Source organism: Homo sapiens, chromosome 3, assembly GCF_000001405.40.
Source record: "Homo sapiens chromosome 3, GRCh38.p14 Primary Assembly".
Taxonomy (NCBI): domain Eukaryota; kingdom Metazoa; phylum Chordata; class Mammalia; order Primates; family Hominidae; genus Homo; species Homo sapiens.
The window spans coordinates 30081556-30107265 of NC_000003.12; the positions used below are offsets into that span (position 1 = coordinate 30081556).

A 25710-nucleotide genomic window follows, 5' to 3' on the forward strand; every position below is an offset into this window, starting at 1 on the left:
AATGGCTACTACAGTGAAACAGAATAACATATCTATCATCTCACATACTTTCCTAGTGAGTGATTTTTAGAGTAATATTGTGATTATTTTACTCTATTTCATGTTTTTATTGTATTTTTAAATAGTATGAAGTATTCAAAATATACCAAGTCTGAAACCTAAAACATACACATTGTTTTCCCCAGAAACAATCACTATTACTAGTTTCTTGTGTGTGTGTATGTGTTTTCCCACAAATAATTGTACAAACGTAAATGCTAGGGACTATAACATACTCACTGTTTGGCACTTTCACTTTCCCATGAAATAATATTTCTTGTGATGTGGGGGATCAGTCAGAGTGGTGGGAAAAACTACAGGGAAAGGATGCAAACCTTCGGAAAGGTCAGAAAGTTTTGCAGAGCCCTGGGGGAGAATAGCTGAAGGCAACTGTTCTATAACCCTGAGGCAGAGGGCAAGGAGTAGGTACAAGGGAGTATAGGGAAATTTATCTTAAACAGGTTTGTTTACTTACATTGACCAAGAGCTGACCTTTGATCATCCACGCCCATGCACGAGACATTCCCTGAAGGGGAACAATAAATGTTAATTACCTACAGGTTGTGTTTGCTCCAGGTTTTCAGCATTGTGCCTGCACTGAATAAAAGCAAGCAGCTCCAGCTTCTTGGAGCTGGTTTCTGGCCACTAGAGCCAGGCAGTCACCTAGCTCTCTTACACTGCATGCCTGTGTCTGAGTACTCATTTAATCCATTGGCCAGGGTTTGTGGGACACACCTGGCACTTGTGTATGGAATAGCTTTATTCACTTTATTGGTTGTATAATATTTCAGTATATGGATGTACCAGAACTTATTTAGCGAGTCCCATAATGCTAAAATTTTCTTGTTTACAAACTCTAGCTCTTCCTAAAATGTAGCATTTAATATTGTCCAAATGATATTTTGTACATGTGTGAAAGAATGCTTGAGGAATAAATTCCTAGAAGTGGAATTGGTATGTCAAAGTGCACATGCTTTTAAAATGTTGAATAACTAGTTCTTAGCAGATCTTAGGTGAGAAGTCAGATATCAAGATTTCTTCCACAGTGCTATTACAGGCTCAAAAAATTGAGTCTTCCCTAAAGAAACTGGAATTTTGCCTGGCATAGAAATCAAGGCTAGGATTTCCCTGAGAGTGGAAAAAGTCCCTCTTAAACTCATCTCCTCTTGCGATCCTCTAAATAGTTCAGCGGGATGAGAAAAGCGGCAAAAACCCTACCCAGCAGGCAGCAGGTTAAGGCTGGCTTGTGTGGGGACGACCGGAGAAGGTCTAGTTACTTTCAGGTACCAGAACTTAGGAACCTGAGAAACGAACTGGCTTTTCTATGTAGATGAGTCTTTTGTGTCTCACAGAAGGACCAGGTTTTACTATTCAAAGGAGAATGAAGAACCACGAGAACCAAAACTGATTAATTAAGGGTTTTCTCTGACTTAAGAATGAGCTATGAGTTTTATTTTTATCTTTCCCTCATCCTCTTCTCCCAAGTAGCTCTCTGTATTTCAGTTCTAAAGTGTGACTACTTGGTTGAATTTTTTCTGATAGGATCAGAGCCATCTGTTTATCAATGTGTTTGCTTCAGAAGACTACTCTTTGTACATGTTATTCCTTAACAGAAGCAGAGATATTTCACTTTTGCTCTGTCGCAGCTTCTGCTATCGGATTGACATGCTTTCTGCCAACTGCCAGAACATGTTTTTCTTTGTCCCTTTTCTTCTTCTTTGTTTTTCCCCTAGCAGTGCAGCAATAATCTTAATGCGCTGCTGTGTTTGAATAATCAATTTAGGGTGACTCTTAAAATAAAATAGCACACTATAAAACTACTCCATTGGTGAGTGCCCTCCAAATGGTAGATGCAAAGGAGATGCTGTTCTTTTAAAGGGACAAGAGAGCCTGCGGCAATATGACTGTATTATGCCATCATCCGCAAACACAGTTTGTTTTTTACCTTCCTGTTGGTTTCTGCTTGCTGAGATACCTGATTCGGGGTGGCCACTGAAGAGAGTGTAAACCTATTATCCAGTGTGCAGTTCCCTGTTATCCCAGCACTGCCTCACCAGAAGGAACTGGAGAAACAATTCTATAGGGAATCTCCAAGTTTTTGTATGCCCTTAGGCAGAACACCAAAGTTTTTTTGTTGTTGTTGTTTTGTTTTTTTTTTTGAGACAAGGTCTCACTCTCACATCCAGGCTGGAATGCAGTGGTATGGTCATACCCCACTGCAACCTCCACCTCTCAAACAGTGCTCCCACTTCAGCCTCCTGAGTAGCTGGGACTATAGACATGTGCCACTACACTTGGCTGATTTTTATTTTTGTATTTTTTGTAGAGATGGGGTCTCACTATGTTGCCCAGGCTGGTCTCAAACTCCTGGGCTCAAGCAATCCACCCGCCTCAGCCTCCCAAAGTGCTGGGGTTACAGGCATGAGCCACTGTGTCCAGCCCAGAAGTATCTTTATGTTAATATAGATCTAGGAGAAACAGCAACATTCATCCCTTATTGGTTCTAATTAAGAAATCAAGTAAGAATTAAGCAAAATGGAAATAGATTATATTTTCACCATCTCCAAATCATTTTTTAGTTCCTCTTTCACCTAAACCTTGACCAAGTCACTCCCTGACTTGTCAGTCTTTGACTTTGACAGTCACGCAGTCTGCTTTCTAATGGTTCCCCAGATTTTAGACTTTTTTCTACTTCTCCCTTCAACAATTTTGTTTTCTTTTTCTTCTTTTACTTTTTGTTCATTCACAATCCTTCATTTCTGCCAAGTGACAATTGTTGCATATAAGAGCTCCCTGGATAAAATGTTTGAAACATTATATGGTCAAGGGAACAATATGGCAATATATTCAGAGAAACAGTATAGGTCCTGGGAAGAGGGAGGGGTTTTGGTCTTCTATAAATCATGTCATATTGTAACTGAAACCCTGGTTCAGTAACTCGCCGCTTACGGAGTTCAATTAACAAGAGCAAGGTCTGCTATACAGAAAATGACTTTTTATTCCAAAGCTAGCTCAGGAGAAGTACAGGTTTCCTGCCTTTAAGGGCACCACTTCACTTTCAAAGCAGAAAGTGAGCGCTTTTTTTTTTTTTTTTTTTTTTTTGAGATGGAGTTTCGCTCTTGTTGCCCAGGCTGGAGTGCAATGGCACAATCTCAGCTCACTGCAACCTCTGCCTCCAGGGTTCAAGTGATTCCCCTGCCTCAGCCTCCTAAGTAGCTGGGATTACAGGCATGCGCCACAACGCCTGGTTAATTTTTTGTATTTTTAGTAGAGACGGGGTTTCTCCATGTTGGTCAGGCTGGTCTCAAACTCCCGACCTCAGGTGATCCACCCACTTCGGCCTCCCAGAGTGCTGGGATTACAGGCGTGAGCCACTGCGCCGGGCCGAAAGTGAGCAATTTTAAAGGGTGCCTAACATGAACTGCCCATGGTGGGAGGGGGAGTGAGCAGATGAGGGGTCCACATGTTAGCTTGGTGCCCTATCTACCCAGCTGGTTCTGCTGACACTTTCTTCTTCTTCTTGGGCAGGTAGACTTTGGGTTGTAAATAGACTGTTATCTCTTCAGGAAACCTCCTGCTGGCTGAGAGTTCCTTTCTGTGGCTCCTAAGCACAGAGTTAGAACTTGACCTGTAGGGAATGCCTGGTGAAGGGGAGGTGAAAGGCTATATTTGCATTTCTAAAGGGCTAAATAGGAAGTGGGGAAAAGGAGGAAAAAGATAGAGAGAAAATAAACTATCTGTTAGAAAAATGGGGGTAGTCCTGATGACTAAGCTCTGATTTTTTCTTATCTTGCCCACATTCCTATCTAAGGGGTCTGGGAAGTCATGCCTTACAAACCATAAATTCTCATCAGATGGTTTTATTTAACCATATATATCATGACTGACTTTCCAATCTGCCTCTGGCATAACATGTGACAAAGGAGAAAATCAAAATATTTTACCCCCAAACATGTTTCTTTGCCATATTTTGAAATGGCCTTTGCAAAGCTGTCCTTTGTGGAGGAAAATTTGCATCTGTAAAGAATCTCTATTAACATAGCTAGATCTTTTTCTTCCTGGCCCTCCCAATCCTGAAGAGATTAGCTGAGAGTCTTGAACCTTTTAAAGGTCTGAATAGGAAACGTTTGTCATCTATTGTCTCTAACAGCAGCCACTATGAGACTTCAAAAGAACCCTGGTTTCCACAATCTTTCATCTTAACCTAAACATTTCCTTTCCATTGATCTCAGGTCTTTAGACAAACTCAACCAATTGTCAACCAGAAAATGTTTAAATTTACCTATAGCCTGGAAGCCCCCCACTTCGAATTGTCCCGCCTTTCTGGACCAAACCAATGTATTTCTCAAATGTATTTGATTGATGTCTCATGCCTCCCTAACATGTATAAAACCAAGCTGCGCCCTGACCACCTTGGGCACATGTTCTCAGGACTTCCTGAGGGCTGTGTCACGGGTGATGGTCACTCATATTTGGCTCAGAATAAATCTCTTCAAATATTTTTCAGAGTTTGACTCTTTTCTCGTCAACACTCTCAGTTACAATATATGTTTTTGCCCACTCTTTGAATTTACAAAATTGACGCTAGGTTCTTGAAGACTTTCTCTCAAAAAAGATTGGATAGTTAGAAACTGTTAGAATAGATCATTTTTTTCCTCTCACATTCTGGCCCATGTTCTACCATGTTATGAATTAGTAGAAACACACAGGCATCCAGAGAAGTACTAGGCAATCATAGGCTTGCCAAGTTTGAAATTAACTGGTTAGTGTCTCTTTTATTATACAGAATAATTTTCTGAATGTTAACCTGCAGTCTCTCAACTCTAAATTTCATCAGTATGCAAGACTTTGCATTGAATAAATCCACAAGTAAAGTTTTAAAGAAGAAATCAGATAGAGCTTATGTATTGTGAAAAGAAAATAAATTTTGGGACCCCATAATCACTGAGCCAAAGGGAAAAGTCAAGCTAGGAACTGCATCAGGTAAACCTGCCTCCCATTTTATTCCTTAATAAGATAGCTCCAAAGATTAAAAAAAAAAAAAAAAAAAAGCTGCATACCTCTCTCACAATTTGCCTACAAGAAAATTCCTTGTGGGCCTCAAAATCTTTACCCTAAAACAGTTCTGTTGAATTTTATACTGACAATATAAATTAATAGCTTATCTTCACAGGGGTGGGACAAAGGACTGACAGAACTAAAAGTAATCCCTCTGCTCACCTGAGGCAAATGCATATCTGGTTCCTTCCTCTGCCCTATTATTTATGTAAAAATGCAGATTCACTGAGCTAGACTAGGGCATAAATACCTATTCCTCTACCCACAGCCCTACATGTAAAATGTGAATTCAGTGAAAGGCTGATCAAAAACCTAAAATAATGCAAACTCTTGTTTCTTATCTACCTATGACCTGGAAGCCCCCACTTTGAGTTGTGCTGCCTTTTTGGACCAAACCAATATACATCTTACACATTGATTGATGTCTCATGTCTCCCTAAAATGTGTAAAACCAAGGTGTGCCCTGAGCACCTTGGGCACATGTGGTAATCACCTGCTGAGGCAGTGTCATGGGTACATTCTCAACCTTGGCAAAACAGACTTTCTAAATTGATTGAGACCTGTCTTAGATACTTTTGGCTTCACAGTATGTGACCCTATGTTGATTTACATAGAGCTATGTTTATACTCAATGAGTAAGTGCTCACTATAAATCTTAAAAAAGGTCCTAGAAGAGAAGAGCATCAATGAATGTGTTCAAAGTTTTCTTCTTAAAAATGTGCCCTCCTACCCCGTCTCTACTAAAATATAAAAAAATTAGCCACGTATGGTGGCGCGTGCTTGTAGTCCCAGCTACTCAGGAGGCTGAGGCAGGGGAATCACTTGAACCCAAGAGGCGGAGGTTGCAGTGAGCCAAGATCACACCACTGCACGCCAGCCTAACGACAGAGCAAGACTCCGTCGCCAAAAAAAAAATGTGCCCTCTGTCCTCCCTCCCTCCTCCCCCTCCCCCTCCTCCTCCTCCCCCTCCCCCCTCCCCCTCCACCTCCTCCTCCTCCCCCTCTTCCTCCTCCTCCTCGGGACTGCAGCCTAACGACAAAGCAAGCTCTGTCTCAAAAAAAAGTGCCCTCCGTCCTCCTCCCTCCCTCCTCCTCCTTCTCCTCCTCCTCCTCTTCTTCTTCTTTTGAGACAGGATCTCACCTTGTCACTTAGACTGGAGTGCAGTGGCATGATCTTGGCTCACTGCAACCTCAACCACCCAGGCTTAAGTGATCCTCCTACCTCAGCCTCCTGAGTAACTAGGACTACAGGCATACACCACCACATCTGGCTAATTTTTGTATTTTATGTAGAGGCAGGGTTTTACCATGTTGCCCAGGCTGGTCTCAAACTCCTGGGCTCAAGTGAACCACCCACCTTGGCCTCCCAAAGTGCTGGGATTATAGGCCTGCACCAGTGTGCCTAGCCGAATGTGCCCTTCTTTTAGAGGTTGAAAATGCGTTGACTGATATGCTCACACCTTTCTGCACATGTCTATTTTCTCAACCCACTTTCTATGAATAGTTCTCAATCAGCTATAATTTCCTTGAGAGTAGAAACATGAAAGTTCAACACAAGGAAGGAAAAACTGAAAATTTCAGTACTAGAGTTAGAGTGATGAAGAAAACTTAAAAACAACCTAGGAAGTTTCAACTAGCTAACGATGGTGGCTCCAATGTCCCTAAGGGGCTGCATTGAATTCCTATTGTCTTTATTAGGCATGTAGTTGCTTCTCCACTGGACCATAAGTAGAGTCAACTCCATGTGGAGTTGAAACAGAAAATTTTCCCTGACCCCTTAACGGACCTCGCAAAAGGGGTGCCTTGCTTACTCAGCCCGTAGCTCTTAACCCCTTGCGGGAGGAGGAGCACACAGGTGAGCAGGTTCAGGAGCTGGGACTAGTACTTCTGGGCACCAGCCAAAGCAGAACTCAGCGCAGCCCCATGGCGGCACCTAGGGGTGTACCTGTGACCCCTGGAGCCCCAGAGGGCATGTATTACAGTGCTCTTTTAGCTTTGCCATCTTTAGAGGGCTTAAGAATTAAACGGCTAAAGCATCTGCACCCGTGGCTCCCAAGCTCTTGTTCAATGTCCAGGAGAATCAGGTCACATGAACAAATTGAAAGGTAGTGAATATGGAGGATTTTTATTGCCAATGAAAGTGGCTTTCATCAGGAAAGGGAGCCGAAAAGGGGATAGACTGGGAAGGTTGTCTTCCCCTGGAGTCTGGCCACCCCTGGCAAGGCTCTTCTCCAAAGCCCTGCCATCAAGCTGTCCCTCTGAAGTCAAGCTGCTTCTCTCAGATGTCTGGCTACTTCTTTTCTCCTCCCCTCTCCTCTCTGTCTAGAATTTCTCTGCCTTTTGTCCCTATCAGAGTGACTTTCAATGCTGACTTCCTAAGGGGACTTGTACACTTCTCCTATAGAAAGTATTATGTATGCTCTCATGAGAGATCTAGCAGTTAGCAGTTGGCAAATCAGAAGTTTTTAGACTGTGCTTTGTTTCCTTTAATAACAGTTAGATGGAAATTGTGGGAAAACAAAGAGCAGAGGGCAGTCCAAGGCTTTTATTCCTTATTAAATGCAATGAAAAGCAATATCCAGACATTAGTCCTTCGGCCTCTTGCACTTGGTTTCAAGGGGGGCTCATCAATTCTTATGTGGTCCTGAAGCCCAGGGCTGGCACTTTCTACCCAGTCATTAGGATTAAATATGGGACTGTGTCCAAAGCACACTATGGAACGCATTTAGCAATTGCAGCAAAGGGAGGGCCTGTTTCCAGCAGAAATTGTAGAAGCCACAGTGAAGTAGAATTACAACTTCTTTTTCTGTAATTAAAATATTTTTCCCTAATGTATCAAAAAGCTCAAGCAAATAGTTTTATACTTTAAGCAGGATATTTGCTAATATTATGTAACATTTTTCAGGAAAGATATGCCACATATATTTCAGGAAATGGCACAATGATAGTGGCATAACTCCATTATGAATAAGGAAGAAAAGTCTTAATTCTGTATGTTCCTACGAGGGAAAAAAAAAAATTCCCTGGACGTCCAAGTTGACTCAAACCCTTCATAAAGAATTTTCTCCTCTTCTCACATCTTCCAGGGAAAAAATTAACAAGACTAGATTGGGTTTTGACTCACATATATCATTAGGAGGAATCATAGAAAACAATAACTTAACAGATTAATGAAGTACAAATTTCAGATCTATAAAGAATGGTGAAAGTTATCATAATTTTATAATTTCAAAATAGGTTTACTCTTTCTTCTCATATCTAAAATTTCATTAGAAAATATAGATCCATAAAACAGTTATTTGGAAGCTAAAGGTAATCAGTTAAAATTATCATAATTTTGGCAAACTGGTTTACCCAAAAGCAGAACCCTTTGAGGCTAAATGGTTTCAGGACACTCCAGAATTCATCCTAGTGAGGTAGATGTTTAAGAAATAGTGTACGTAGACAGTAAATAATTGGACTGAATTGCTTCTAATAATAGTTACTTTATAAACACTTCCTGGTTTTTACTTTTCTTCTGTAACAATGTAGCTACTCTTCATCTACCCCTGGCATGTTGGACCCAAACACACAAATAGTAATAAGATGAAGTCTGAAACAACACTTACTTGTGGGCATCTAATTGAATGTAAAATTGAATAAGGGAGTTGATGGGGTTTGTTCTTTCCAGGATACAAAATATTTTTGAGATGGGGCATATCTAAGGGTTCAAGGACACTAAATATTGGCAGCTGATATAAAACAGTTATTGCCATATTCAGTGCAAAAGTGTAGTCCTTATTCTTTCACTATGATTCGTGCCTCTTTACATTTGGATTTTTTGCCATTTCTGAGTCTAAGAAACTGGGGTGGTAATAGGATATGTTTTTCCCTGCTCACTGGCCCTCACATTTTTGGGGGCCATTAGGAAACCCAGAGTTATGTCAACCCGATGGGCTCAGAATCCAGCTACTTTTTTCCATTATAGAATTCTGTCCCTTCCTGCTGTCTTCCTTCAGCCGACCCTCCACTCTATTCAGAGTCCACAAACTCTCTATCTTTTATGTTTTTAAATGCCAAAGCTCTGTTACTCATCTTTTTCTCAAGCAATTTAGTTGGATTGTCACTGATGGAGGCCTCCATCTTTGATATATTACAGCCCTTGTTTATAGAATGTCTTGAGATGGGGTTGTGAGGGCTCATAATCTTTGTAAGTTCCTTTTTTTCTTTTTATTTCTTTTGTTGTGATTATAAAAAAAAAACCCTTGTAACATGAGATACATGCTCTTAACAATTTTTAAGTGAATAGTGCAGAATTGTTAACTATAAGCATAATACTGTATAGCAGATCTCCAAACTTTTAATTTGCATGACTGAAATTTTACACCATTGAACAGCAAGTCTCCATTTCCCCCTCTTCAGCTTCTCCTACTTTATTCATTTTAATAGCTTTTCTAGGATGCAATTAATACACAAAATAACTGCAGATATTTAATGTACATAATTTAATGGGTTTGAACATATGCATATCCCTGTGAAATCATCGCCACAATCAAGTAATAAGCATATCTATCACCTCTAAAATATTTCTCCTGCTTCCACCACCCCTTTTCCTGAGATCAACTCTCTTAACCATTTTTTTGTTCGTTTGTTTTTTGAGACAGAGTCTCTCTCTGTCGCCCCCGCTGGAGTGCAGTGGTGCAATCTCGGCTCACTGCAAGCTCTGCCTCCCGGGTTCATGCCATTCTCTTGCCTCAGCCTCCCGAGTAGCTGGGACTACAGGCACCCGCCACCACGCCCGGCTAATTTTTTGTATTTTTTAGTAGAGAAGGGGTTTCACCGTGTTAGCCAGGATGGTCTCGATTTCCTGACCTCGTGATCCGCCCACCTCCGCCTCCCAAAGTGCTGGGATTACAGGCGTAAGTCACTGCGCCCGGCTGTCTCTTAACCATTTTTTAAGTGCACAATGCAGTATTGTTAGCTAGAGCGACTATATTGTAGATCAGGTCTCTAGAACTTACTCATCTTGTATAACAGAAACTATACTCATTGTAAGACAATTCTCCTTTTTTCCCTCCCACAGCCCCTGGAAACCACCATTCTAATTTCTGATTCTGTAAGTTTGACAATTTTAGGTACTGCATATAAATGGAATCATGCAATATTTGTCTTTCTATGTCTGGCTTATTTCACTTAGCATAATGTCCTTAAGGTTTTCCAGTTTGGGTGATGCATCCAAGGGGAGTGTCCTGTGATATGAGGACACAATTACCATCTGTGAAGAGAGGACAGAGGAGGAAAAAGTACAAAGAAGGCATTTTGTTTTTTTTCTTTCAAAGGAATCCCAGTGATTCAAGAGTCATTCCAGAGAAATACAGACTGAAGATGACTGGTTACCCTTCTAGAAAGAGGGGAACAAGGCCTCCCTAGTTCCTTTTGCTTCCCAGTGAATACACGAGGTACGTGAGGGAGAGAAGAAGAGGTGTCCACCTTCCTTCCTCAATCCTTATATCTCCGATTCCCAGAGACCTTGGTGGGGTACCACCTGTGGGTGCCAATGCAGATTTTCACCCATGTTAACAGGGAGGCCTTAAGGGTGGGAACAATCTGCATTTATCCATGTGCTGCCTCCTCCCTGCTGTTGGCAACCTTTGAGTTCCCTAGACCTTGTCTATACCATGGATACTTGCATGACCTCTATCTATGAAACTGGGGTGGAGGGCGGTGGTGGCTAATCAGCAGGAATTAGTCATGCTTACGCGCGCTGTGCTCCGTTGTTGCCTGCCTCCATATCCCTTAGATCCAGTTTTCCCTCCTAGGGCTTCAACCCGAAGCCTGGAATTGAGTTTGTGACAAAAAAATGTGCTTCAGGAGAGTTCATGGAGTCCTTAAGTCCCAGGTGGCCCCCCTCATACAAAGGAGAGAAAAGGGAGTTCTGTGAATTGGGGTCCTGGCCTTGCAAGACACTTTCCAAAAGGAAAAAAAAAAAAAAAAAAAAAAAAAAACCTCTCACATAGAAAACTCCCTGTATTCGCAGGTCTGTGTTAACAGAGAAATGGAAAATAAATAACAGAGAAATAAATAACAGAGAAAAGGAAAATAAAACAGCTTATGTGTGGGGCAGAAACGGCGCCTGGGAAAAAAACCTCTAGCTCTATGCAAATAAATTCCTCAAATAAGGAGAGAAACTCTTAATCTTTGTACTCTCCTTTTGGCTCGGCCAGGGGAAGAAAGACTCTGTGGGCATGTGGTGGGAGGGGATGACAAGTGGGAAACACTGGCCAGCCAGCCTCATGGGGCCCTTGGCCCTGGAGACCGCCCAGGGCCTGGGTGGCTACTGAGGCTCATTCCTGTGCTGTGTGGCCGTTGGGTGCTGCATGCACATGAGGCAGACATGGCCATGCGCCTCAGCCTGGAGTGGAGGGGAACATGCTTAAGAACACACGGAAATTGCGTTGTTCTAAATTGCATGTCTGTCTGATGGCTGGGCCAAAGACCCTTTCTATCTCGTAATATCTCTACAGTTTGCAATAACACCCCCAATATTGTAAAAGAAAAGATAGGTGCTGTAACAGCCCCAAAAGGAAGAAGAAAAATGCCATAGAAAAGACTGGATTGGAATGAGGCCCATATTCTCAACCTCTGAGTGTGACGGGGGTGGATGGCAGCTTCTGCAGCCATGCCCTTCATTCTTAATTGGCTAACAGAAGCCCGGTGCTACATCTGTTTAGAGAAGAAGTCTGAGGATGAGAAGGCTCAGCAACGAAAGTGAAAGAGATTTTTTGGGGTCCACCTTTTACTCACCTTTCCTCAGGATCCCCATACAGCCACCAAAATGATGCAGAACTTTTGCTCCTTTAGCACAGCTAGGTCTGGGTTCTTGTCTCATGACCAGGAAAAATTAGGTGCACGGCCCCCAGAGAGTGAGTGGAGTAAAATTTATCATGCAAAAGGAATGCTCTCGGCAAAGAGAGGGGTCCTGAAAGCCAGTTACCCACTTCACAGTTGAATATCCGGGCTTAAGGTGTGAATTCCTGGTGGCTCCACCCAACCCTTTCAATGTGCCTGCCAGCCCATACACTGAGATGCTCCATATTGATTTATTTCCCTTACTGTGCATGAATTAAGGAACGGAATTTTCCACTGTGGGCATGTTTAGGCAAGTCCCCTGTGCAAGTTCCCTTATACACAAAATGTCTGGTTTAAACATTTGTGGGGTGGGGGGACCCTGCCCTTAGTGTCTGCCTAAACCAAGCTGGCTCTTTTCAATATGACATCTCATCATGGTTTTGATTTGCATTTTCCCATGATTAGTGATGTTGAGCATCTTTTAATACACTGCTGGCCATTTGTATGCACTCTTTGGAGAAATGTCTATTCACATAAATTCGTTTTTTCTTTTGTCTAAACCTTAGGCAGAAGAGCCTTTCCTAGAAAATGTCCTGGGCCATTATCTTCAAGGGGCTTCAGAACTTCTAAGAAGTGTAGGTATCCTTTTGCAAGGGAAAATGTATATGCCTTAACGTGGGTGATTTTTGTGGCACCTTTCTCAATGAAGAAAAGGTGTCTTTTTCTCCAAACTAATTTGCTAATTAACCTATCAGTCACTATTTACACATGAAACAGAATTCACTCCAGATTGTTCAAATGGAAAACATTAATAAAAGGACTACTTTAAAAAGTTTGTGCTGAGATTTAAAAATAAAAATTAAAAAGGCAGTGATGAGACTAGCCACAGTAGAAAGGTGTTATCACCATGAGGGTTGAAGAAATAAAGGCAGAAGACAGTAATATCAGAGCAAGAGCTGGAGCCATGGAGAAAATGTCTAGTGGGCTGCAGTCATGAAGGGATGCAGCTGCTATCAGAGGCACTTTAAAAAGTGAGGGACAAACACCCAAACCACCTCCTTTTGCCATCCTGTCTCCTGCCACTGTCTCTCATTGATGAAATTCAAACTGATGCCAGCTATCGAGGGGGTCTGTTAATTGCATCAATCTAGTGTGCAAAGCAAGACAGAGAAGAATAGAAAATTAACCTAAGTAGTCAACAGGCAACAGCTAGAAAAGAACCAGCACAACTAGATAACTCAACAGCAACAAAATTTAACAGTGTCAGGATATTCTGCTATAGTTCTTTCCTGTCTGGTATAAAGTTAATTGTTTTTTGCTTTTGTTTTTAAATTTTAATGTATTTAAGTCAACAAAGTCAATCAATTATATATTTGATAAGTACTTTTTATGTGCAAAGCTCAGTACTAAGTATTAAAAGATAGTGTTTCTAGTGTTACGTGACTATAAGGGAAGAATATATAATTTTTCCAAAATGTTGACTATTTTATGTTCCTTGAAATGATAACAAGTTCTATGGAAGTTCAAATAACAGTAAAAATTGCATCAGCTTGATAGGGATTAAAATAATTTTAATGGATAACTAGGAGTTCGAAAATACTTTGATCTGTGGGCAAGGTTCTGACAACAGGATATGGATTAACAGGAAGAGCATCCCCACTGGAGGTCAAAGCAAGGCAGAAGTATGTAAGATACGTTTGAGAAATAGTAAACAATCTCTAGTAGAGATAGAAAAATGAGCAGGAGATAGGCTTGGGAGGCAAGTTCTGATTAGATCATGGAAAGTAAAGAAATGTAATCTGTTTTCATTTGAGGAGTCTTCAGTTTACACCGTGCTACCAAAAAAAAAAAAAAAAATCAGGCACATCACAATCTATACCAATTTCAGGAAGCAAGAGTCATGAGCGGAAATAGAGAAGGCAGAATTTGGCTAATGGAAAGAAACATTTTTCTAACTGGCCCTCCAAATGCAATAAATACTTTGAAAATAGTAAATATGCCAACCATAAATAAAAAGTGATGCAGAGATCCTTTCTTACCTCCAAAAATTGAAGAGATGACCTTTAGCATTCCTTCCAACTTTGAAATTCTATGTCACAGAACAAGATACCAATTATGGTAAGAAAATTTTAGTTTCCAAACACTGCATGTTCTCACTCATAGGTGGGAATTGAACAATGAGAACACCTGGACACAGGGCAGGGAACATCACACACCGGGGCCTGTCGTGGGATCGGTGGGAGGGCGGAGGGATAGCATTAGGAGAAATATCTAATGTAAATGACGAGTTAATGGGTGCAGCAAACCAACATGGCACATGTATACATATGTAACAAACCTGCATGTTGTGCACATGTACCCTAGAACTTACTATAATAAAAAAAAAAAAAAGAAAATTTTAGTTTCTAAATGCTTTTACAGCTCTTATGAAGGAATAATAAATCAAAGGAAAGAGGCATGAAGCAATGTTTTCTTCCTTCCTTCCTCCTTTCCTCCCTTCCTCTGTTTCTCCCTTCCTCCAGTCTTCATGTAACTGCCCCATGAGTTCACCTTGCCTGATGCCTAGACACAGCCAATTTATCCAGACAGGAGAATTGCAATAGAGAAAGAGTTTAATTTACTCAGAGCTGGCTGTATGGGAGACCAGACTTTTATTATTATTCAAATCTAAAATTGGGGGATTGGGTTTTTTAAGGACAATTTGGTGGCTAGGGGCCAGTGAGTCAGAAGTGCTGATTGGTCGGGTTGAAGGTGCAATTATAGAGAGTACAAGCTGTCCTCTTGCACTGAGTCAGTTCCTGGGTGGGGTCCACGAGACCAAATGAGCCAGTTTATCAATCTGGATGGTGCCAGCTGATCCATCAAGTGCAGGGTCTGCAAAATATCCCTAACACTGATCTTAGGTTTTATAGTAGTGATGTTATCCCCAGGAGCAATTTGGGGAGGGTCAAAATCTTGTAGCCTTCAGCTGCATGACTACTAAACCATAGTTTCTAATCTTGTGTTTAGTTTGTTAGTCCTAAAAAGGCAGTGGGGCAGCTTCCCCAGGCAGGAAGCAGGTTTGCTTTGGGAAAGGGCTGTTATCATCTTTGTTTCAAAGTTAAACTATAATCAAAGTTCCTCCTAAAGTTAGTTCAGCCCAGGAATGAACAAAGACAACTTGGAGGTTAGAAGCAAGATGGAGTTGGTTAGGTCAGATCTCTTTGACTCTAATAATTTTCTCAGTTATAATTTTTGCAAAGGCGGTTTCACATCAAGTGGGGGCTGGAAGACACTCATTCAAGCTGGTTCACTCACATGGCTTTCAAGTTGGTCTGGTTATTGGCTGGATGCTCAGTTGAGCTCTGGACTGGGTGTCTTTGTTTTCTCCATATAAGCCTCTACATGGGTTGCCTGAGCTTCCTCACAACATGGTAGCTGAATTACAAGAGCAAATACCTTAAAGGAACCAAGAAGAAGTACATGATATTTTTATGAGCTACCCTTAGCAGTCACATAGCGTACTCTATTTGAAACTGCCTTTGCAAACTTTGCAAAAATTCTATCAGTGAAAAAAATTATGACAGTGAAAGAGATCTGAGTTAACGCACACTCCATCTTGCTGCTTCCTTAATTATTCCTGAGATATTGGGTCAACCTAACTTTGGAAGATATTTAGGCTATAGTTTAAATGATAATAGGCCTTGCCCAAAACTGAATTGCTTTTGTAAAGCTAATGGGAGGCTATTAGGCTAGGGGGAGGAGAGGATCCTTAGTCCTGCTAAAGTGCATACATAAATGATTGTCAGCAATTACTCTGGAGGTTATAAGATATGCAAATTCCCCAATTACTCCTTCAAATAATACCACTATTGTAGATTGGCCTTTTGAGATCTCTTTTTGAGTTTTCTGCATGTCTAACCCCCATGGCTCCACCTGGAACTGCCAACCCCACTCCTTTGGCCCCACCCAGAAGCAATTTAGCCCAGGGAGGCAGCTTCCACCCCTTATGATTTCATCTCCACCCCAACCAATCACCATCAAGCACCTGTTACCTGGCTACTCCCACCCCTTCCCCCAAACTGCCTTTGAAAAATCCCTAACCTGGGAGGTTTGGAGGAGATGATGTGAGGGCTAATTCTGTCTTCCATGTAGGCTGATCGGCCTTGTGTCTGTTAAACACTTTGTCTGCTACAGTGCTGTGGTCTTTCTTCATGCAGCCAGCGGGAAGAGCCCCTCCAATGGTTACATATTGATGAAGACCATTACAAACATTCATCCACAGAGCCCGCCACTAGATGGAAAGAATATCAAGGCCACATTGTAAAATGGTGTGTGATATTGGTGTGGACATCTTCAGAAAATACAAGCTGCTACTAGAGAATATTAAACTTTGATTACAAATGTTTAAGTGTCTTTATTTTATTTGCTCCAAAGGGAAGTATCAGCCCACCTAATTTCTGTAACTTTTACTCCAGCATTTCATCAGTTGCTTGCTGTAGGGATGAACTCTTTTCATTTATTTGAAAACATATGGTTCTCCTTGTGATAACATTTTGCTAAATATTAATACTATTTTTGTGCCTTTGTTTTATTCCTTGTATATGTTCTTTTCCTTATCCCTCTTTGTTCTTCCCTCGTACTTTAAAAAGAAAAAAAAAAGATAAACTATCAAGTTTCTAAGTATGTGAAGAAAGGCAGTTCTTTAAGTGATATATTTTTTAAATTATTTTAACTGGAAATATTTCACCCTCTTTACTCCTTTCTTATGCTTTTAAGGAATAGCATGATAATAGTTAACATCTACCTAACACTATGCTAGACCTCAAAAAGCACTAAAGAAGAATTCAGCTGTAAAGACCCTTGATGGCTGCAAGTTTGCTGTATTCCAAATTCTCAGCACCCATCAAAAAGTCTGACTCACAGGAGTTACTGCATGAACATCTGCCTAGTCAATGAATGAATTCATATGAAATGAATAAAGGCATGACTTCTGTTCACTATGAGATAATGAACAGTTTAGAGGGAGGTCAATAATTTATAATGTGACAAGGAAAGAAAGGTGTGTTATATATGGTAGACTGAGATGTCTCTAAAATCAAAGGGTATTGAGCAAGTGAGATGGAGATAAAGGAAAGAGAAATAATGAGAAATAATCATCAATAACTTCATAACTCAGATGGCAGGGGTAGGGGCTGTGGCAATTGTTGAGGGGAAGAGTGGGTGGAGTATAGCTAGCAGAGTGCTGAATCACAAGTTAAAGGGCAGTGCAATTATTCACAACCTGAAAGAGGATGCAGTAGTGACTGGGAGTGCAGGCTTCAGAGTCACAGACACAGATTCAAGTTCCAGCACTACTAGTTATGTAATGTTGAATTAATCTCTCTGGGCCTCAGTTTTCCTGCCTAAATGGGATAAAAACCTTTCCTATGGGAAGCAAAGTAGGCATGGACACACACATGCCATTAATACCTTTCCCTTGTATCAGAGCACAAATCCCTCATCTCTCATTGTACCAAAGTATGCTGGTATAGACAGGCTGGCACCAGATTTGACACTTTTTAGTGAGTATTCCACTGCAGTGACTCTGCCTCTACAATGCACCACAAAGTAACAAGGAAAGGAAACAGGGAAGATTTAGGTCAATGTGTAGCATGCAGCCTCTGGGTCAGGGGTGATGTCCTTCCTAGAAAGGAGGGATTCACAGAGTGCAAAAAAGTACAAAAGAATAATTCAGCTGTAAAGCCCTTTGATGGCTTGGAGTTTCTTGTATTCAAAATTCCCAGCACCCATCAGAAAGTCTGACTCACAGGAGTTACTCAATAAATGTCTGTGATACGAGCTCCTTGATAAGCTGCTGAAAGGAGGTAGAAAACAAAAATCCAAAGTTCCCCAAAGTCACCTCTACTCAACCTACTTTGTAAGACTGCTGTAATAATTATTGTAAAATGCCTAGCAAGGCAGTAAATGTTAACTATTATTGTATTATCGTTGGGTTTCTCCAAGTCTCTAAGTTGATGACATTCGTAGAAGAAATATGCTATATAAGCAAGTGATATAGAATATTGCTATTGTTGGGGTGGTATTAGCTACTAATTGCTAAAAAAACAACAGCCATTTATCCTCATGGATCCGTGGATTGTCTGGAGATCAGCTGAAGGTGGGCAGACCTAAGCTGGGCTTGGCTGGATTTGGCTCAGCTCTGTACTATATGTTTCTAATCCTCTTTGTAGGAGCAAGAGGCAACAAGAAACAAGCAGAAACACACAAAAATCCTTGAGTCCTAGGTTCAAAACTTGCACACTGACGCTTCCACTAATTATCCTACTAGTTCAAGCCAAAGCCCAGAGGAGGAAAAATGTGCCTCACTTCTTTAAGGGGAAGCACTGTAAAGCCACAAAGGGAAAATAAGTGAGGCCATTAATGCAATCTACAAAAATGATAGACTTGCACAATTGTTTGTCAGCAACAGAGGAGACTGTGTTATACAGCTTTTAAAAAGATGAGACGGCACGGCCCCCAAATGCTTTCCAAGCCTGAACTGGGTTGACTAGTGTTCCCACCAGATTTCATGTCTACTTGAAACCTGTCAATGTGCTCTTATTTGGAAATAGGTTCTTGCAGATGTAATCAAGTTATGAAGTCATACTGGATTAGGATGGCCCCTAATCCAATAACTGGTGTCCTTATAAAGAGGAAAATTAAAACCCAGAGATAGAGAAGATAAAACTATGTGAAGACACAGAAGACACAGAGAAGTGTTTCATGAGAAGACAGAAGCAGAGATTGGAGTGATATGTCTACAAGCCAAGGAACACCAAGAGTTTTTATCACCTATCAGTAGCTAGGAGAAAAACCTGGAGCAGATTCTCCCTTATAATCTCCAGAAAGAACCAACCCTGCCAACATCTATATTTCATTTTGAACTTCTGGCTTCCAGAACCGTAAGGGAATAAGTTTCTGTTGTTTAAAACCACCCAGTTTTTGGTACTTTGTTGCCACAGTCTTTCTGATCCTTATGTACACTTCCAGAACTTTTTCATGGTACCAAAAAGAGGTAGTGTCCACATTCCCTTCTCTCAAAATTGGGTAGGAATTTGTCACTGCCTCAGTCGATAGGGATCTAACACACTGGTTATAGCAGGCCAAGTGGTAAAAAACTTGTTAGTCTTAACACCTCCCTACCTCTATGTTAGTCTAGGCTACAACTTTCTGCAGAGGGTTTTGGAACTCCAATAATGATCTCAGCATGTTTTATAAGTAGATTAACCTTCAGCCCTGTTTTTATTTGATGTAATATATTTAGGTGGAGAGAACACGGGAGTCAAATTTAGAAATCTTAGTCATCTTACTTTTTATTCTCCACATCTAATCATTCACCAAGATTGATCATTTTTTTCAATGAATTACACTTAAATTGGCCACCACTATTACTGCCTTACTCTAGGTCCTCATTTCTAATAAATGATGCTCACTGGTTCAATGCTGCCACTGGTGACTTTTAAACAATTCAGATCTGGTCATACAACCATAACTGCTTAAAAAGGAGGATTTGAGAATTCCAACTAAACTCTTGAGCATGTCAAATGAAATCCTTCATGGTTGGACCCATGTGGACATTATCATTGCACCAGTTGCCAGCCCTTGCATACATTCTCCTCCGTCTGTCTGCCTTCGTACATGCTATACTCACTGACATTCTCCCACCTATCCCTGGCTAACTACTATCATCCTAGGACTCAATTTATGCAACACTTCCTGGGGGAATCACTTCCTTAATTCTACTAGATTTGATTCAGCATTCTTCAGATCTGTCTTTGTTTTAGCATTCTCCCCCACATTGTATTGAAGTTATTTTTTACTTTTTAATTGTACTCATCAGCTGCACTCATTGAAGGCCCATTGTGTCTTCTACGTTTTGATCTCTACCATTACTATGAAGCAGTCATACTGACATGGACAGCAGCTGTTGAATTAATTATTTCTTCATCCATAAAATAATCTCCCTTGTCCATGGGATAATATATTTAAAGATGCTCACATTTCCAGTTTTAATTGTGTCTTGTATTCATGTTTTTTTGTTGTTGTTGTTATTGTTATTGATTTTGACAGATTTATTTATCAAAAATTAGTAAAACACTTTTTCTCATTGCTTGAACTTTTTCTAAAGTGTAAGATTGAATTGGATAAATAATCTCTTTCTGTAGAAATACTATAAAATATAATTCTGACTTTGAAAGTTTTGCTAAAGAAAGTGTCTATTATTAGGATAGCATAAATATTACATTTTCACTTTATAGTTATGTATTTTTAAATCATGGTTTTTAAGTTTAGACCTCTTATTTCTCTGCTGGATGTATTAGCCCATTTTCATGCTGCTGATAAAGATATACTCGAGATCGGGAAGGAAAACAGGTTTAATGGACTTACAGTTCTACATGGCTGGGGAGGCCTCACAATCATGGTGGAAGGCAAGGAGGAGCAAGTCACATCTTATGCGGATGGCAGCAGGCAAAGAGAGAGCTTGAGTAGGGAAACTCCCGTTTTTAAAACCATCAGATCTCATGAGACTCATTCGCTATCATGAGAATAGCGCAGGAAAGACCTGCCCCCATAATTCAATTGCCTCTCACTGGGTTCCTCCAAAGACGTGTGGGAATTGTTGGAGTTACAATTCAAGATGAGATTTGGGTGGGGACACAGCCAAACTATATCACTGGATTATGAGATATTTCGCATTAAAAAAAAGTTCTAAACATCTTTGGATGCTCTCTCTCTCTCTCTTTTCCTTATGCCACCACGCTATATTTTGTTAAAATATTTTTTTGTGCAACGTTTATTCAAATTTTTAAAAAATGGATATCTTCTCTTTAAAAAATGTTTCTGTAACACTTCTAATCCTATCTGTCCTTCCAGAACTTTTTTACTCTACTTTTTCACTTCCCTTGAAATTGGATGGGGGCTTTGTTACTGCCCCAGTGAATAGAATGAGGCAGAAGTGATGATGTATAATTCTGAGGCTAGGCTATAAAGTGTGATCCAGTTTCCATTTGTCTCTTTCTCTTGGGATGGGACTTAACAGCCATCATACTGTGAGGAAGGCCAGGCTGCATGGGGCTGCCAATTCAGAGAACTGAAACTTCATCCCTCAGCTCTGCTGAGTTTCCAGCTCACAGCCAGCAACAATTTGTCATTTATATTAGAAATAAATTCCCCAGCTTCTAGTTAAGAGATCCCAGCTAATGCCACATAAAATAGAAATGAGCCTTCTCCACCCAAACCTACCCAAGTTACAGTTTTGTGAGCAAAATACATTATTGTTATTGTCTCTAGTTATTCAGTTTTAGGGTGGTTTGTAACAAACAAAAGTTGTTACAAATCTACCTAATAAGCAGTCTTTAGGACCAGTTTGGTCAATATGAGACAAACATCAAATAACAATAGTATCTGAAAGCTTGAGGAAGATCTGTGTCCAGATAATATCTTCAAAGGCTCATGCTAGGCAAACATTAAAAAAAAATGAGTTTTTTTTCACATAAATGTGCAGATAATTTTTTTTATATAGACTTGAAGAGTCTAGACTTTCTAAACGCAAAATTGAGAAGACATATAAACTAATTTATCTTCGGCTATATCCATATCTGCACACAGCCCAGGAGATGAACTTCCAATTCAAAAACTCTCACTAGTCTCAGAGTTAGCTGGGTTATTATAATGAGAATTATTTGACCATCTGAGAATACCTTACTGATACTAGACACTGACTTTTGTTGGATCCTTTAATCAGGGGTCAGCAAATTATGGCTTGCAGGCCAAATTTGGTCCACTGCCTATTTTAGTAAATACAGATGATGTATTGAAACACAGCCACACCTATTAATTTTACTTATTGTCTTTAAGTACTTTCACACTGAAACGACAATGTTGCATCATCATGTCTGAGATTGTATGGCCTACAAAATTAAAAATATTCACTATCTGACCCTTTACAAAGTTTGCAGACTCCTGTCTTAGATGAATAATTTTGGGGCTTTATAGGAAGCCTGTCAGCTACATTTGCCTAGGGAGAACTCGTTTCCATCATATCCAAAATTTCTGCCTCAGAGAAGCACACACAGTTCTGGAGAACCTGTCCGTGAGTAGTTTCTTGTTGAAGGATGAAGATGAAGGTCAGAGGAAACCAGGGAAGGCTGCACACACAAGCCTGGGTGTCAGGGAGATCTGATTTAGTGGGCAAATTAGGAAATAATTCATGTTGGGGTGATCAGACCCAACACCAAGCCGTGGGAGTGACGAAGTCCAGTGGAGTCAAAAGAATGAGAAAAAGACAGTTTGAGAGAGAAAAGTGGGTCCAGGGGGCCATCATGAGTGTATGGAGGCTGTGAAGGCCCCGAGCTCTGGGAGCCCACACTATTTATTGGTAATCCAACAAAGAAACAGGTGGTGAGAAAGTGGGGGTCCAAAGGGAGCGTTGTATTAAGCACACGATTTACTGCTGTGATGGTTTAGTATTTGCTCTGCTACTTGAGATAATGGGCAGCAGGTTATTTTAACTCAAGATACAATCGATCCTGGGAGAGCAAGGAGCAAGGAGCCAGCAAGTCTAGGCACATTCCAGAGGCCACAAGCCCTGGATTCTATCCAAGCCATGAGGGGTTTTATGCCCCGGGCTTTGATTATGGTGCATCAGGGTAGCCTTCCACCCTTTAGCACAGAGCTTGGTGTTCCAAAGGCCACAAGGGGTTTTAGACCCTGGATCCCAGACATGTTCCGAGACTCTTTTACATTATGTCAGACATGCAAGCCCTGCCTCATCTTCTCTCCCAACACTCAGCTTTTCTCCCAACAAATTCACATATCTCAGGATGTTAATTAGAAATCTGTTGGTTGCAAGAGGTTTAAGCACCTAGAAGTATCCCTGGTTTCGAGGCTCAAATAATCTCACAAACACACTGTTTCTCTCCTGTAACTCCTTTTTGCTGAGATGAATTTTTTCTCAGAATTCCCCCAGTGAGCAATTCTAAACTCACATTGTCCTGACATTACCAATCCCATGAGAAAAGATAATCTCCTCAATATTTTCACTAATCATCCTGGGACTGTATCCATTAGTCCAGCTTGAGTCACATGCTTATCACTGAGCAATCATTCTGGCCAGGACAATAAAGTCCTTTGATTGGCTGATCTTAGCCATGTGTAGCCTTCAAACTTAATCAAAGTAGTGAACAATGAAGAAGAGGCCCTTCACTAAAATGCTGGACAAATATTTTCTTTTTTTATATCTTCTGCACATCTGCCCGTGGTACCAACTTAGGGTTGCCAAATGAATACAGGATGCCTAGTTAAAATTGAGCTTCAGAAAAACAATAAATAAAAACACATTTTTAAAATAAATGAATCCCAAATACTACATTGGACACAATTATACTAAAATATTGATCATTTATCAGAAATTTAAATTTAACTGATTATCTTATATTTTTATTTGCTAAATCTGGCAATCCAAAACCAGGTGAAAGTTTTTTTCTTTGATCCTTTCCTAATTTGGCACTGTTCTACATAAAACTCACAAGATTATTTTGAGGATCAATACAGGTAATAGTGGCAAAAGCATCTGATAAATTACAAAGTGCTATAGAAAGGCAAGAAATTATTTTGGTGGGGTGGAGGGGCTGGATTCCTAAAGTTTTATTTCAATCTTGGTTCTATCTTGAGACAGTTCTGTCCAGTACCATGATCACACAATTCTAAACTGGAAGGCACTTACTCTCCCTAATAATTAAGGGAATAAATACAATTGAGCTTGCTTATATATGATTAAAACTAAACATAACTGAGGCCAGGTGCAGCAGCTCACACCTGTCATCCCAGCACTTTGGGAGGACAAGGCAAGCACTTAAGGCCAGGAGTTCGAGACCAGACTGGCCCACATGGTGAAATCCAGTCTCTACTATAAATACAAAAAAATTAGACGAGCATGGTAGCACATGCCTGTAATCCCAGCTACTTGGAAGAAGGAGGCAGGAAAATCATTTGTACCCCTGGGGTAGAGGTTGCAGTGAACCGAGATCATGCCACTGCCCTTTAGCCTGGGCAATGCAGTGAAACTCTGTCTCAAAACAAAAAACAAACAACAATAAAAACAAGAAGACCTTAAAATAATCATAACTGAAATTATTTTTCCTTAGAGCCATAAAAACAATAAATATTTCTCAAAAAAATACATTTTTTTTTCGGGATCCCAGGGAGAGCCAAGTTCATTGTTGATTGTCTACAGCGGATAGTGAATCTTTCTTTTTTTAATTTTTAATTTTAAATTTTGTGGTTACATAGTAGGTGTATAAATTTATGGGGTACATGAGATATTTTGATACAGGCATGCAATGTATAATAATTATATCATGAAAAATGAGGTATCCATTCCCTCAAGCATTTATCCTTTGTGTTACAAACAATTCAATTATATTGTTTCCGTTATTTCAAAATGTGCAATTAAATTATTATTGACTATAGTCACTCTGTTGTGCTATAAAATAGTAGGTCTTGTTCATTCGTTCTATTTTTTTTCTGCCCATTCACTATCCCCATTTCCTGTCAACTGCCACTACCCTTCCCAGCCTTTGGTAACCACCCTTTTACTATCTCCATGTGTTCAATTGTTTTGATTTTTAGATCCCGCAAATAAGTGAGAACATGAGATGTTTGTCTTTCTGTGCCTGGTTTATTTCACTAAACATAATGACCTCCAGTTCCATCCATGTTGTTGCAAATGACAGAATCTTTCTTTTTTATGGCTGAATAGTACTCCATCGTGTAGAAGTATCACATTTCCTTTATCCATTCATCTATTGATGGACACTTATGTTGCTTCCAAATTTTGGCTATTGTGAACAGTGCTGTAACAAACACAGGAGTGCAGATATCTCTTCCATATACTGATTTCCTTTCTTTGGGGTATGTACTCAGCAGTAGCATTGCTGGATCATATGGTAGCTCTATTTTTAGTTTTTTGAGGAACCTCCAAACTGTTCTCCATAGTGATTGTACTAATTTACATTCCCACCAGCAGTGTACGAGGGTTCCATTTTCTCCACATTCTCTCTAGCATTTGATATTGCCTGTTTTTTAGATATAAGCCATTTTAACTGGGTGTGATGATATCTAATTGCATTTTTGATTGCATTTCTCTGATGATCAATGATGTCGATAGGGTTTGGCTCTGTCCCCACCCAAATCTCATCTTGAACTGTAACTCCCACAATTTCAATGTGTCATGGGAGGGATCCAGTGGAAGGTAATTGAATCATGGGGACAGGTCTTTCTTGTGCTATTCTTGTGATGGTGAATAAGTCTCACGAGTTCTGATGGTTTTAAAAAGAGGAGTTACCCTGCACAAGCTCTCATTTTTTGCCTGCCACTAGCCATGTAAAATGTGACTTGCTCCTCCTCGCCTTCCATCATGATTGTGAAGCTTCCATAGCCACACAGAACTGTAAGTCCAATTAAACCTCCTTCTTTTGTAAATTGCTCAGTCTTGGGTATGTCTTTATCAGCACTGTGAAAATGAACTAATACACATGTTGAGCATCTTTTCACATGCCTGTTTGCTATTTGTATGTTTTCCTTCAGGAAATGCCTATTCACATCTCTTGACCATTTTACAATCAGATTATTGGATTGCTTTTCTTATAGAGTTGTTTGAGCTTATTATAAATCGTGGTTATTAATCCCTTGTCAGATGGGTAGTACACAAGTATTTTCTCCCATTCTGTGGATCTCTCTTCACTTTTAATTATTTCCTTTGTGG

At 40.3% G+C, this 25710-nt stretch overlaps 2 annotated features.

Moving 5' to 3' along the window:
* Positions 2935 to 3814: an enhancer, noted in NCBI's record as "OCT4-NANOG-H3K27ac hESC enhancer chr3:30125981-30126860 (GRCh37/hg19 assembly coordinates)". NCBI's record gives its function as "activates a minimal SCP1, AML or CMV promoter by ChIP-STARR-seq in naive and primed H9 embryonic stem cells {active_cell/tissue: H9 hESC(naive and primed)}" and the evidence as "EXISTENCE:reporter gene assay evidence [ECO:0000049][PMID:30033119]".
* Positions 3815 to 4692: an enhancer, noted in NCBI's record as "OCT4-NANOG-H3K27ac hESC enhancer chr3:30126861-30127738 (GRCh37/hg19 assembly coordinates)". NCBI's record gives its function as "activates a minimal SCP1, AML or CMV promoter by ChIP-STARR-seq in naive and primed H9 embryonic stem cells {active_cell/tissue: H9 hESC(naive and primed)}" and the evidence as "EXISTENCE:reporter gene assay evidence [ECO:0000049][PMID:30033119]".